Source organism: Homo sapiens, chromosome 3 (assembly GCF_000001405.40).
Source record: "Homo sapiens chromosome 3, GRCh38.p14 Primary Assembly".
NCBI classification, from domain to species: Eukaryota; Metazoa; Chordata; class Mammalia; order Primates; family Hominidae; genus Homo; species Homo sapiens.
In genome coordinates, this window is record NC_000003.12 from 13,894,472 (window position 1) to 13,908,252 (window position 13,781).

General features: G+C 43.3%; 1 long non-coding RNA gene across 3 annotated transcripts, besides 3 other annotated features; it reads left to right on the plus strand.

The window, feature by feature from the left end:
* The first annotated feature begins 1,087 nt into the window (after nt 1-1,087).
* On the plus strand, nt 1,088-13,471 carry LOC105376957 (uncharacterized). Of its 3 annotated transcripts, none has more exons than XR_007095823.1 (3): nt 1,088-1,153; nt 3,832-3,885; nt 9,169-10,652. It is a non-coding gene; the product is annotated as an uncharacterized LOC105376957 (long non-coding RNA). The 3 variants fall into 3 exon arrangements; XR_001740602.3 differs by having other exon boundaries at nt 1,113-1,408; nt 9,169-13,471; XR_007095822.1 differs by having other exon boundaries at nt 1,113-1,408; nt 3,832-9,465; nt 10,435-10,652.
* Nucleotides 1,224-1,363: an enhancer, noted in NCBI's record as "active region_19494". NCBI's record gives its function as "activates an Ori minimal core promoter by ATAC-STARR-seq in GM12878 lymphoblastoid cells {active_cell/tissue: GM12878}" and the evidence as "EXISTENCE:reporter gene assay evidence [ECO:0000049][PMID:35858748]".
* Nucleotides 9,521-9,815: a silencer, noted in NCBI's record as "tiled region #1925; K562 Repressive non-DNase unmatched - State 24:Quies". NCBI's record gives its function as "represses a minimal TATA promoter and a strong SV40 promoter by Sharpr-MPRA in K562 cells {active_cell/tissue: K562}" and the evidence as "EXISTENCE:reporter gene assay evidence [ECO:0000049][PMID:27701403]".
* Nucleotides 12,945-13,114: an enhancer, noted in NCBI's record as "experimental_64801 CRE fragment used in MPRA reporter constructs". NCBI's record gives its function as "activates a minimal promoter by MPRAs in K562 erythroleukemia cells, with activity observed for both the introgressed and non-introgressed 3:13948998 variant alleles {active_cell/tissue: K562}" and the evidence as "EXISTENCE:reporter gene assay evidence [ECO:0000049][PMID:34662402]".
* Nucleotides 13,472-13,781: the final 310 nt, after the last annotated feature.

Here is a 13,781-nt window from a genome sequence, read left to right on the forward strand (position 1 = left end):
GCCCTGTCTCCCCAACATTGAGTTCCAGGCCCTCAGAAGTTTGTGGAATGAATTGAAGTCATGCGGAGGGTCATTGTAACAGGCCATCCTTCCTGCGACCCAACCTCCTGAAGGATGGGACAGGAGACAGATACCTGTGCTGCCTCTGTGAGATGTCTGGAGCTGGAGGGCAAGGCACACACGGACAGTTCTTGCTTGCCAAGGAGCTCTGCCCATCTTAGGGAGGGGAAACGGCTCCAGAGGCTAGACCACGTGCTCAACGCCACACAGCCAGCGGAAAAAGCAGAGGGCCAGGCGTTTTTGCAAACATGCTGGTTTAATCCTCTGTGTGCGCCTCCATACACAGGGTCCTGACCTCGCTGTCCGCTCACTCGGGTGTCCCTTGCGTCCACACTCCGCCTTACACACAAAGGGCTCTCAACAAGTGCTCACTGGCCCCTAATCCTCCCGCCGGGCCCGGGAGAGCAGAATTAGCAACAGCTGCATTTTGCAGATGGGGAGACTCAGATGTGCGAGGGCTACCCCAGGGCATCCAGGTGTGATGTGGGGGTCCCGAGACGCGTCGCCAAGTCAAGATACCCCGGAGCTCAGTTCGTTCCTCAGCCTGAGCGGTGCCCACGATGATGGAAGACTTTGCAAGACCCCTCCTGGGTCGTTTCGAACCGAGCTGCCCTAGAGCTGTCGGGTAGGTGAGGGGGAGACAGGTGCACGAGCTGACCTCGTAGGTGACCGAAGAAGGGGAGGGAAGCAGGCCCGATGGAGCCGACCTGTACCCGACGCAACCCGCTGTGGGCCGAAACGGGAGCTAAGCCAGATGGAACAAACGACCCCCAACCCGAGCCCGGCGGGGCGAACAGGACATCCCGCGTTGTTCCACCTGCCAAAGAGGGCGAGCGCGCGGGCCGATCGGAGCAGAGCGAGAGGGCGGGGCCAAGCGGAGCGGATGGGGCCAAGTGGACGAGCCGAGGGAGTGGGGCGCAGCCGAAAGTAGCCGAGTGAAGCCGAACAGAGACGAGGCGCGGGTCGGGTGGTGCCAAGCGGAAATGAGTGGGGCCGAGCGGGGCAGGGTGGAGCCGAGCGGAGCCGGGTGGAGCCGAGCGGAGCCGAGCGAGTGAGAAGCCGGAGGCCGAGAGGGCCGGGCCGACTTGAAGAGGTGGGGATTGCTGAGGGCTGGTCTGTCGGCTCTGGAAATCCTGTCATACTGTCACTTTTGGATTCCGCCGTTTCCGTCCCAACGGAAAACTGGGGCTCCTGGATTCCCCTGACCCGAGTTGTAACCACCGACGAGAATCTTTTTCACTGGCGGCCTCGGCGTCGGCATTTTATAAAATGAGAGCGGGGAGGGCGGCCGAAGACGAGTGTGCGGAGCCTTAGGCCCCCCGCTCGGGTCCGCTTTTCGTATATTCGGGTAGGATCGGATGTGGTGTCTTCCGTTGAAGTCCCTCGGCTCCAGTTCACCTGGGAGCGGGTGGGGGTTCTGGGGAATGTCACTTTAAAGACTTTGCTTTTGGGGAACGGTCCTGGCGCCTCCTGTGTAGATGCTGTCACTTGAGGTCTAGAAAGGGTCAGTGCGTGACGCAACGGACGCCGGGGAAGCCTGGTCTGGATCCCGAAGTCCAGCTCGTTTACCTGCAACAGGCTGGAGGTCCCTGCAGCCTGGCTGTGAAGGAATTTTACCCGGGGGGCTGCGCCTCTGCCCTTACCAGGGCAACCTCACTGAGCCCCACTGTTTATATCTGTAAGATGAGGAAAGCGATGCCTTCCTCTCAGGCTGCTGTGCAGCTGGATGGGGTGGGGGCTCTGTATTTTGACAGTGTTATCATGTAGTCATATATGGAAAAAATGTCCTTTTATTTTAAAATAAAAACATTTAGGTACCAGGCACTGTTCTAGGCAGTGGGGATATAGACGTGAACAAATCAACCAGTAATGCCTGCATACATTCTAGTAGGAGCTGCTGATCCAGTGGTTTGGCACAAGACTTCAGGCAGTGAACATGGGCATGAAGCACTGAGCCCTTAGGTATCTGAGCCGTTGTCACCCACCGTGCCTGTGTGCTTACTGCTGAATTGCTCTAAAACACAGATCTGATCATGTGGCTTAGTTGCCAGCGCCTGTGAGATAAAGACCGTCAGGAGCGGGCCCTAGCCTACTTTTCCAGTTGCATCTCCCCATCCCTTCTGTAAATTTTCAGGAACACCTGGCCACTCACTCTTCCCAGTACATTCCTCTGCTGTGTATTTTCTAAGTGCTGAGCTCAATGTTAGACACGAGATGGCGCCAGAACTGTACTGAAGGCTTTCTCTAATGGCCGCGGAGTACTCCCCTACCTGTTAACTGGCTTGGTTATTGGAACCTTTAGAAAGCCCCTTAGCATTTGTTTTATAGACAGCCCATATATTTTTTAGTATAATTCTCAATGAATTTTATGTATTGAATAAATTTTCTAGATATAAAAAGGAAGGGGAATATTATGAAACTTACTGCCCCAAGGGTTTCGGTACCATCATCTACTCCTCAGAGAGCAAGCCAGGCCGTTTTACTCAGAAGCTCATTAAGGTTCCTAATTCACTCACAATCTCTTCCTACAGTGTTGTTGCCGGGATGCTTTAGGGAACTTGGCCAAGGTAGGGGAAATTCCCTTCTCTTGGTTGGGCTCTGATTTTTTAAACCAAGAATGATTTTTGTAAACCAAAAATTTGGGGAAATTTCCCCCAAAGTCCCATTTTCTCCCCAAGCTAGTATTAGGTAAAAATCAGATATTACCTGCCCTGGTTTCTCAGCAAAATTTATTTGAAATGTGTGAGATTGCAGGCACCTCCCCATCTGAGGAGAGGCCACGAAATGGAATTTCATCCAAAATTAAAACAGATGTGACCTGGTCTCTGCTGGCATCCTTTATAGATGAGTTTCCTACAAAGACAATCTGTTGGGGTGGGGAAAAATCTTAGAACGATAGAAGTAGTTAGTATTTCACCTCACTTTTTAAAATTTGTATTTGTGGCCGTGTAATGTAGTGTACACTATGAGTCAGTTGTATACATCAAGCCTGTGTTTTTCCATGACGAAAAGATTGCTAGAGGACAAATGCCAAGAGCTTTGTTGGTTTTCCCAGGATCTTCTAGCCAAAGGGGAATCACTGGAACCTGAAGGGACCTCTCTAGGAATGTCTTCTGTAGGTTTTGTCTTTTCACATCTCAGCCTCAGTTTCTTCATCTATAAAATGGTACTCACAATGCCTTCTTCATGGAGTTGTGAGAACACAGTGAGATCTTGTGTGTAAAAAGGCTTTGAAAGCTGTGATGCCGGGGCAGGATAAACAGGGCTCCTGTTAGACCACACAGCCATCTTTGGGCATGGTGGAAATGGCACCCCTTTCTCCTGGTGGATCCAAACCCGTGACAGGGTACATGACTTGGTGAGTTGAGCCTTACCGGATTTCAGTCCCACTTGCCCATTTGACCAGGCACCCTAAGGCAAAGTCTGCACAGGGTTGTGACAACACTGTGGATCAAGTCCAAGTTCATACAGAGGAGCCTACCCTGACTGCCTCTCCCCTTCCCACACCCTGTGTTTCTACCAAACTGAAGCCATCAGTGTTTTGAAAGCAAAAGATCATTTCACCCCTCTGTGCCCTTGCATGTACCTTCCCTTACTCTAGGTGCTCTTGGTGAACTCCCACTCAGTCGTTAAGACCCCACTTAAGCAAGTCTTCAAGTCTATCTCATTTGATAACTTCTCCTTTTATGTCCCTCCTCTTCTTCCATCTGAGTACACTCCTCTATCCTAGCCATGACGCAATTATCTTTTCTGTTCTGCTTCTTCTGCTAGTTTTGGACAAAGATGAAGAAACAAATCTAGAGACTGGATGACCTTGGATCTCAGGTAAGTCCATCTTCAGCATGTGAGCTTGTTAACACAGCAGTTTCTTGTGAAGAGCGGTCACTCTGGGAAGAAATTGCCAGACTGTGGAGCTGCTCAAGGCCAGACAGCATGATTTATTCACCTCTTGGTGCCTGGCTTGCACCATGCCCAGGGCCTGACTGTTGGGTGCTGGTAAGTAACTGTGGACTGATTTACTGACTGTGTCTCATAATTGCCTTCCTGCCCTAGCTGTGAACCAAAGCCGTGGAGATGAAGGAACTCTGGGAGTGAGTGAGGGAAGAGCAGTTGGTATACAGACAGGGTGTTCCAGCTGCAAGAGGAGGGGAATGCAGGAATTGTCTTTTAAATTTGTTATCTGCACCTGAACTACACGTATTCTTTATCCTTGTGAAAAATAAAAATAATTGCAGATTAGGCTGAAATCCAGCCTTCACAGAGGTATCTGCTGTTCTAAGTGGATCAATGTCTGCATGTGGTTTATATGTCTATTAGTATACATGCTAGCTGCAGTGCCAGAAAAGCTTCCAAATCTCAGTTGCTTAACACAAAAAAGTTTATCTCTTGCTCAACACACAGTGTGATGTGGTCGGGAGGTGACTCTGGGCAGCTGTTCCAGAAGGTGTCTCAGGGTCTAGGCTCAAAGTAATGCTCATCCCTTGCTTCTAACCTGTGGCAGGAAGATTGAGTGGGACATTTTAGGGGCTCAGCTAGAGGTAGCATATACTGAGTGTTGCATATTCCAACAGCCAGGACTCAGTCACACTGTCTTAAAGTAACTGCAAAGGAGACTGGGAAATGTAGTATTCTTATGTGGGGAAGATTTGTGAGCATCAAGCAGATCTTGCCACAATAGTCATGCCTATCAATAGGTTATATATTGTATTACATGATGGCATGAGTAGGCAGTAGAATAAAAGTGGTTGAATTTTGGATATACATTATTTTGGCTGTAGAGTAGGCAGGGCTTACTGATGGATATACATGGGGGATAAAGGATAAAAGAAACCAAATCTGATTCCTGAGTTTTGGCATGTGCAACATGGGGGTTTGTAACACTGGATTCTTGACAGAGAGGAAAAGAGACTTGGAGCAGGAAAAGTATTATTGGTGTTTTTTTTGTTTTGTTTTGTTTTGTTTTGGTGGGAGGAGTTCTATTTTTCCATTGTTAAGTTTGAATTGCCTATTAGATATTCATGTGGAGAGGTCTGCAAGCCACAGGAGAAGACAGGGAAGTAGATCTACATTTGGGAGGCATAGGCATGTGGACAATATTGAATGCCAGGAAGAGGGTGCAGATAGAGAAGCATGGAGAGCCTTTCTGTGAGTCCTGGGGCACATCAATATCTAGAGATGGAGCAGAGGAGAAGTCTATGACAGAGATAGAAAAGAACATCCAGTTAGGTAGATGGAAAACGAGGTAAATGTAATGACATGGATATCTGAGAAGAGATGATTTCAAGAAGAAAGGTGGGGCCACCTTGCATTGAAGACCACTAAGAAAGTGAGCAGGAGAGTGACTAAGAGGGAACCATTAGTTTTGGCACCATGAATGTTACTTGAGGCTCTCAGTGGAACCAGTGTCCTTTCCTTCAGATGCAGGAAACAGAAGCCAGTTGGATGCATTCTGGGAGAATAGGAGTTGAGGAAATGGAGGCAACAACCATAGATAGATACTTTTTATGACTAAAGAGAATGAGATGAAAGGATACCCACCCAGGGTATTAACACTGGTGGGCTCTGAGATATGGGATCAGGCTCATTCAGGAAAGTCTGTATATTGTTCTCATTTGTGGCCACTGAACTCTCTGTTTTGCTACCATGCAAATCAGCTATGAATTGGAGATATATTTTTTTAAAGTATAGAACTAAGACTCTTGGACTGCTGAGGGGCACTGTGTGTGTGTGTGTGTGTGTGTGTGTGTGTGTGTGTGTCTAGGCATGCTCTCAACACTTGGAGAGGCAGTTCATGACCCTGTCTTAGATTTTACTTCTGGCTCGTGCAGAGCTTCCTGGACAGCCTCAGGTGAGAACCTAGGGCCTTGTCATGTCTTTCCTAGCATACTTATAGTCCTGAGTATGCATGCTATTCCTATGCATGCTTAAAGCCCCCCATGGACACTTTGTTCCCTGGATTTTACTTTTTAAAAGCTTTTTTGGTTAGCTTGTTATTTGATCCACTCTTATCACTACCTCAGGCAGCTGCAGTATTAAACACTTGCCATTGATGATTTTTGATGAATGCCTGTGGAGAAAAGGCCTTTCACACTGCAGGAAATCTGAGTGAGGTAAAATAAAGAGAAGACCTTTGAGTGGCGCTTTCTTAGGAAGCTCCAGATTAAATAAGGACAGTTGTCTAGGATTGGGGTGTTGGATGTTTCAACCTGTTCTTCCTCTCCAGTAGCTGCTAGGTTGCAGATTTTAACTATGATTACTGATTTTTGATTTTCAAAGGTGCTGTGCAGTTGGGATAAAGTGAGTAAGAATAGAGCAATTTATATGCCAAAAGAAATGCTGTCCTTACCAATATTCAGCCATTTTCTTGAATAAATGCTCTCTGGATTATTATAAGATTTTGGTTAATTTCTAGAGTTCTGAAAGACTTGATTTCAATAATTATTGCCTGTGTTCCCATTGCTTTTATGGAGTAGGGGAGTTTTGGAGGTCCTTATTCTGCCATTCCCTTCTGACATCACTCTAGCTGCTATTTCTAGTAACTCCGTTTCCTGTCCAGTCCTCTTTGTGCTTACTCTCTGTTCTATATACTTTCTCTTTCATCTTTTCATCTTCCTTCTGATTATTTTATTGGCTTTCTGCATAATGCAAGATCATGTTTGAAATTACTCAAATGTTATCTTCCCTGAATTGTTTATTTCTGCACCAGTTGTCTTACAATGAGTACTTTTTCAGCTAGGGAAGAGGTCATTTGCAATTGAGCTCTCAATAGTTCTAGAAGGTGAGACATGAAACATACAATAGGACAATTCTGAACAAGGGTATTCCTAAGTTGACTGAAAGAATATTCACAAGGAAAAGCTCTTTGTAAAATTTATTTCAAAAGGAGGGGAGGGAGACTTGAAGCTAGGTACATTCATCTTCAATAAAGCATTGACTGTGGAGAAAGGAAATGAATATAGTAAAATTGGAAGCCAGTTTTTATCTGAGCTCAAAGCTAATTCCTCCAAGGAAAGCAGCATCTCATAGTTATTTGAGGGCATTTGAAGTGTAATTTTGATACAGTTGAGAGAAACTGTGCTAGCAAGAAATATTATAAACATAAAAATGTGGGAAATTATTAGTTCAACCTATGCATGTGTAAAACTTTTTTTAATATAATAATGTGGGACAACTTTCAGTTATAACAAACTTCATAAGACATCAAGAGGTTCATAGTGTAGAGGTTCCTATAAGTGTAATAAATGTAGGAAGGCCTTCACTAGAAAATTCCACTTCATTGTGCATAGAGAAGTCATACTGGAGAGAATTTTTATGATTTTAATTAAAGTAAAAAGCCACAGTACCAGGGGTTAAAATTCTTTAGCCACCCAAAATTTGTAGAAATGATAATCCTAATCAATATAACAAATATGGCAAAGCTTTCTTCAGTGGATAATACTTTATTGTATATCAGAAGAATCACACAGGAGGGGAAATTAGATTCCTATAGCTGCCAAAACAGATAAGCACAAATTGGGTGGCTTAAAACAACAGGAGTTTATTCTCTCACAGCTTAAGAGGCCAGAAGTCAGAAATAAAGGGATTTGGGAAGTTTGTTCCTTCTGGAGGCTCTCAAGAAGAAACTGTTCTATGCCCTTCTCCTAGATTCTGCTGGTTGCCAGTAATTTTTGGCATTGCTTGATGTGTAGCTATATCACTCCAGTCTCCATCCTCACATGGCTTTCTTCTCTGTGTGTGTCTCTGTCTCTTCTACTCTTCTTGTAAGGAAACCAGTCATCATATTTAGGGCATATCCTAATTTCAGTATGACTTTATCTTCAATAATTACATCTGAAAAGACCCCATTCCAAATAAAGTTACATTCCAAGATTCTGGGTGGATGTGAATTTTGAGGGGGAGGTGGACACTATTCAACCCACTACAAACCCCGTGAATGTAGTAAATGTGAGAAACCTTGTACCTGTAGCTCAGTTTCTGTACAACAATAGTAAGAAGTCCTTTGAATGCTAGCAATGTGGGCAGTTCTTTAACTATAAATCATCCTTCATTAGTATTGGAGAATTCATACTGGAGAGAATACAGTATAAACTGTAATTAGTGTGGAAATACTTTTCAAAATAACTTCTCTTTTACTAATGTAAAAACTCCTAATACTCCTAAATCTCATTAATATAGTCAATGTATTAAATTATTTAGATACCTCATTAACCACAGAGAATGCACATTGAAGAGAAACCTCATGATTATGTCACAGAGCCTTTAGCTATAAAGACCTCATTTAGAGAGCAAATAATTTACACTGGAGAAAACATTATCAATTTATTACATTCATCAGAATGTATAAGAGTTCATTAATTACTTGGCATGTAAAGACTCATGCACGTGGATAAACAACATGTGAGAACTCATACAGGTGAAAAGCCAGTTTGGGAAAATCACCTGGAAAAGAAACTTTGTAAATCACTAAATTCATCCTGAGTACATACTGAATTATTCTATTAATTTGGAAAATTTGGAATTCATGTAAACATATTCTAATAAATTGATATTATCAGATACCAAAAAGAAAAACTTATAAGCTTTAAGATTCTTCAGTATAGTGTTTATAATTTTTTGCATAATTTAAATTAATTCAGGTAGCAGAATAAAAATTCAAATACACTGGAAAGGAATAGGAATATGATAGGGTATGATTCAGAGTCCCTACTCTCGTAGTACCTTACTTTTATTTTTTAAACCAACAAGTTAGAAGGGAAACCTATTTATGAGGGTCATGTACCATATTTTATCAAATCAAACTTGTAATGAACTGTGAGATATGCCATTATTTTGTGTACCACTAAGACTTAAAAAACCTCCTAGACTATGGTATTTCATTGATTATAAGATGCATCATGATTCAGAGGTGTTGAAATGTGGGGGTATAAGTGAACCCTACAATGGAGTCTCTAAGCCATATGATAATTCAGTAATATTTCATTAGGTAGAGGGAAAAATGCATTGGATTTGAGCCCAAATTAACAAAATCTAATCTTTTCCTCTCTACCAAAAATCTTGTGCTGAAATAGTAATTGCACTTATTTCTGTAATATTTTGCTTTCTTTTCAGAAATCTTTTTTGGTATTTCAGCATGTGTATGGATGGTATACTAAGAATTGATCACATTTGGTTGTTGAGGGGCCAGGATGGCTGATTGGAAGTAGCTGCAGTCTGTGGCACTCACAGAGAGGAATGAAAGGAGCAAGTGAATTCAGCACCTTCAATTGAGATATTCGGGTTCTCATATTGGGACTGACTAAGCAAATAGCTTGACCCACAGAGAATGAAAAGAAGTGGGGTGGGGTGATGACCCACTTGGGAGCAGCACCAAGCCAAGGGAACCCCCACCCCCAGCCAAGGGAAGTGGTGAGTCAATGCGTGACCCTTCCCCAGAAATTACACTCATCCCATGGATCTCTGCAAGCTGTGGATCAGGAGATCCCCTCATGAGCCACAATACCAGGGTCTTGGGCTCGATACATGGCCTGTGTGGAGTCTTGGCAGAGTGGCCACTCAGGCACACACAGACACCCAGGAGTTTTGCATACTCCAGCCCCAGGATCTGTGGCAAGGCAGAAGATTCATCTGTGCATGTCCCTAGGAAGGGGGCTGAGTCTGGGGAGCCAAGTGGCATCATTCTGCAGGCCCCATTTCCATGGCATCTCACAGGTTGAGACCCAATGGCTTGGAATTCCAGCCAGCCGGCAGCAGTAGGCTGGAGTCTGCCTGAGTCTGGACCAAGTTCCCAGGGGTAGGGGTGGCTGCCATCTCTGTGGTTTGGTAGACTCAGTTGTTTCAGCCTGCCAGCTTTGAAAAATACAGGTGGTCTGAACAAGGGGGGGATCCCCACAGGACAGCACAGCTGCCTTGCCAGATCTTGGCCAGACTGCTTTTTTAAGCAGGACCCTGAACCATTTCTTCTCACTGGGTGAGACCTCCCTGCAGGGGCTTCAGCCACTCCAGCAAGTGTTCTATAGACAGAGCTCTGATCTCTACCCCCAGGGAGAGCTTTGTCCCACAAAGCTCCAGGGGGAGGGGTGGCTACCATCTCTGCAGTTTGGTAGACTCAGCTGTTCCAGCCTGCTGGCTTTGGAGAATACAAATGGTCCAGATGAGGAATGGTCCTCCCCAACTCAGCTTACCTGCTCTACCAAAGGGCAGTCAGACTGCTTCTTTAGGTAGGTCCCTGATCCTGTTCTTTCCCACTGGGTGAGACCTCCTAGCAGGGGTCTTCAACCACCTCCTGCAGCCACATTCAGGCTGGCAACAAGTGAGTGGCCCCGGAGTTGGAGTTTCTGGAGGAAGGAGCAGGCTTCCCTCTTTGCTGTTTTGCAGGCATCACTTGTGATACCTCCAGGTATGGGAAAAACCGAGGCAACTAGGGTCTGGAGTGGAACCCCAGCAAACCACAACAGCTTTACTGAAGAGTGGCCTGTTAAAACAAACAGAAAATAACAACATCCACAAAGATCTCACAAAAGTCAGAAACCTCAAAGATTGAAGGTAGATAACCCCACAAAGATGAGAAAAAATCAACACAAAAACACTGAAAACTCAAAAAGTCAGTGTGTCTTCTCCTCCAAATGACCACAACACCTATCCAGCAAGGGCACAGAACTGGGCTGAGGCTGAGATGGCTGAATTGACAGAAGTAGACTTTAGAAGGTGGGTAATAATGAACTTCACAGAGCTAAAGGAGCATGTTATAACCCAATGCAAAGAAGCTAGGAATCATGATAAGACAATACAGGTGCGACAACCAGAATAGCCAGTTATGTTTCTCTCCTTTAGAGAGATTTAGAAGTCCTGGCCACAGCTATGAGCCTGCAAGATAAAGAAATCAAGAGTATTCTAGTAGGAAGAGAGGAAGTCATATTGTCTTTGTTTACAGATGACATGATCCTATATCTAGAAAACTCCATTGTCTTGGCCCAAAAGCTTCTAAGCTGATAAGCAACTTCAGCAAAGTCTCAGGATATAAAATCAATGTGTAAAAATTGCTAGCATTTCTATACACCAATAACAAGCAAGCAGAGAGCCAAATTATGAATGAACTCCCATTCACAATTGCTACAGAAAGAAAAAAATATCCAGGAATACAGCTAACAAGGGAAGTGAAGGACCTCTTCAAGGAGAACTACAAACGGCTGCTCAAGGAAATCAGAGAGGACACAAACAAATGGAAAAACATTCCATGGTCATGGATAGGAAGAATCAATACAGTGAAAATGGCCATACTGCCCAAAGTAATTTGTGGAATCAATGCTATTCCCATTAAACTACCATTGACACTCTTCACAGAATTACAAAAAACTATTCTAAAATTTGTATGGAACTAAAAGAGAGCTTGAAAAGCCAAATCATCCTAAGCAAAAAGAACAAAGCTGGAGGTATCACGCTACCTGACTTCAGATTATACTACAAGGCTACAGTAACTAAAACAGCATGGTACTGGTACAAGAGCAGACACATAGACCAATGGAACAGAATAGAGAACTCAGAAATAAGACCACACACCTACAGTGATTTGATCCTCAACAAACCTGACAAAAACAAGCAATGGGGGAAGATTTTTTATTTTATAAGTGATGCTGGGAGAACTGGCTTTCCAAATGCGGAAAGTTGAAACTGGAACCCTTCCTTACACCATATGCAGAAATTAACTCAAGGTGGATTAAAGACTTGATGTAAAACACAAAAGTATAAAAACCCTAGAAGAAAATCTAGGCAATACCATTCAGGACATAGGCACAGACAAAGATTTCATGATGAAAATGCCAAAAGCAATAGCAGCAAAAGCAAAAATCGACAAATGGGATCTAATTAAACCAAAGAACTTCTGCACAGCTGAAGAAACAATCATCAGAGTGAATAGACAACCTACAGAATGGGAGAAAATTTTTGCAATCTATCCATCTGACAAAGTTCTAATATCCAGAGTCTACAAGGAACTTAAATTTATAAGAAAGAAAAAACCCCATTAAAAAGTGGGCAAAGACATGAAGAGACACTTATCAAAAGAAGACATACACATGGCCAACAAGCATATGAAAAAGAAGCTGAACATCACTGATCGTTAGGGAAATGCACATAAAAACCACAATGAGATACCATCTCATGCTAGTCAGAATGGCTATTACTAAAAAGCCAAAAAACAACAGATGTTGCGAGGTTGCAGAGAAAAAGGAATGCCTTTACACTGTTAGTAGGAGTGTAAATTAGTTCAACTGTGGGGATTCTTCAAAGATCTAGAGGCGGAAATACCATTTGACTTAGCAACCCTATTATTAGGTTTTTCCCCAAAGGAATATAAATCACTTAATTGTAAAGATACATGCACGTGTATGTTCATTACGGAACTATTCACAATAGCAAAGACATGAAATCAACATAAATGCCCATCAACAATAGACTGGATAAAGAAAATATGATACATATACACCATGGAACACTATGCAGCCATGAAAAGGATCAGGACATAGATGAAATTGGAAGCCATTATCCTCAGCAAACTAACACAGGAATAGAAAACCAAATGTTGCTTGTTCTCACTTACAAGTGGAAGCTGAATTATGAGAATACATGGACACATGGGGTGTGGGGAACAACACACACTGGGGACACGTGGGGACTGTCGTGGGGACAGGGGGAAGGAGAGCATCAGGAAAAATAGCTAACGGATGCTGGGCTTAATACCTAGGTGATGGAATGATCTGTGCAGCAAACCACCATGGCACACATTTACCTATGTAACAAACCTGCACATCTGGAACATGTCCCTTTGAACTTGAAGAAAAAGAATTGATCACATTTTCCTGGTTTCTCATATATTAAGTATTTTGAATTATAGTTAGACTTTGTGATTTGTCCTCAGTCCTGGCACATAAATCTTGAGATACCCTGTGTACTATGATTAATTATTTTGAATACACTGCACTAACTCATCTTGTAACATATTTTTAGTTTTAGTTTTTTTATATATATACTATGTATCCATAATAGTTACAGTTTATATAGGGTACATGAGATATTTTGATACAGGCGTGCAATACATAATAATCACACCAGGGTGAATGTAGTATCACTCACCTCAAGCATTTATCTCTGTGTTACAAACAATCCTATTAAAAATCAGAAATGAGATATTCCAACAGATGCCTCAGAAATAAAAATATTATAATTGACTATTATGAAGAATTATATACTAACTAATTGGATAACCTAGAAGGAATGGATAAATTCCTGGAAACATGCAACCTACCAAAACCAAATCAAGAACAAATAGATATCCTGAACAGACCAGTAACAAACAAGATTAAATTAGCAACGAAAAACTTCCCAACAAAGAAAAGCCCAGGGCCAGATGGCTTCACAGCTGAATTTTTTTTTTTTTTTTTTTTTTTTTTTTTTTTTTTTTTGAGACGGAGTTTCGCTCTGTCGCCCAGGCTGGAGTGCAGTGGCGCGATCTCGACTCACTGCAAGCTCCGCCTCCCGGGTTCACGCCATTCTCCTGCCTCAGCCTCCCGTGTAGCTGGGACTACAGGCACGCGCCACACAGATGAATTTTAACAAACATTCAGAAAGGAATTAATGCCAATGCTTCTGAAACTCTTTCAAAAAATAAAGCAGGAACCTTTCAAACTCATTTTATGAGGCCACCATTGCCCTGATACCACAGCCAA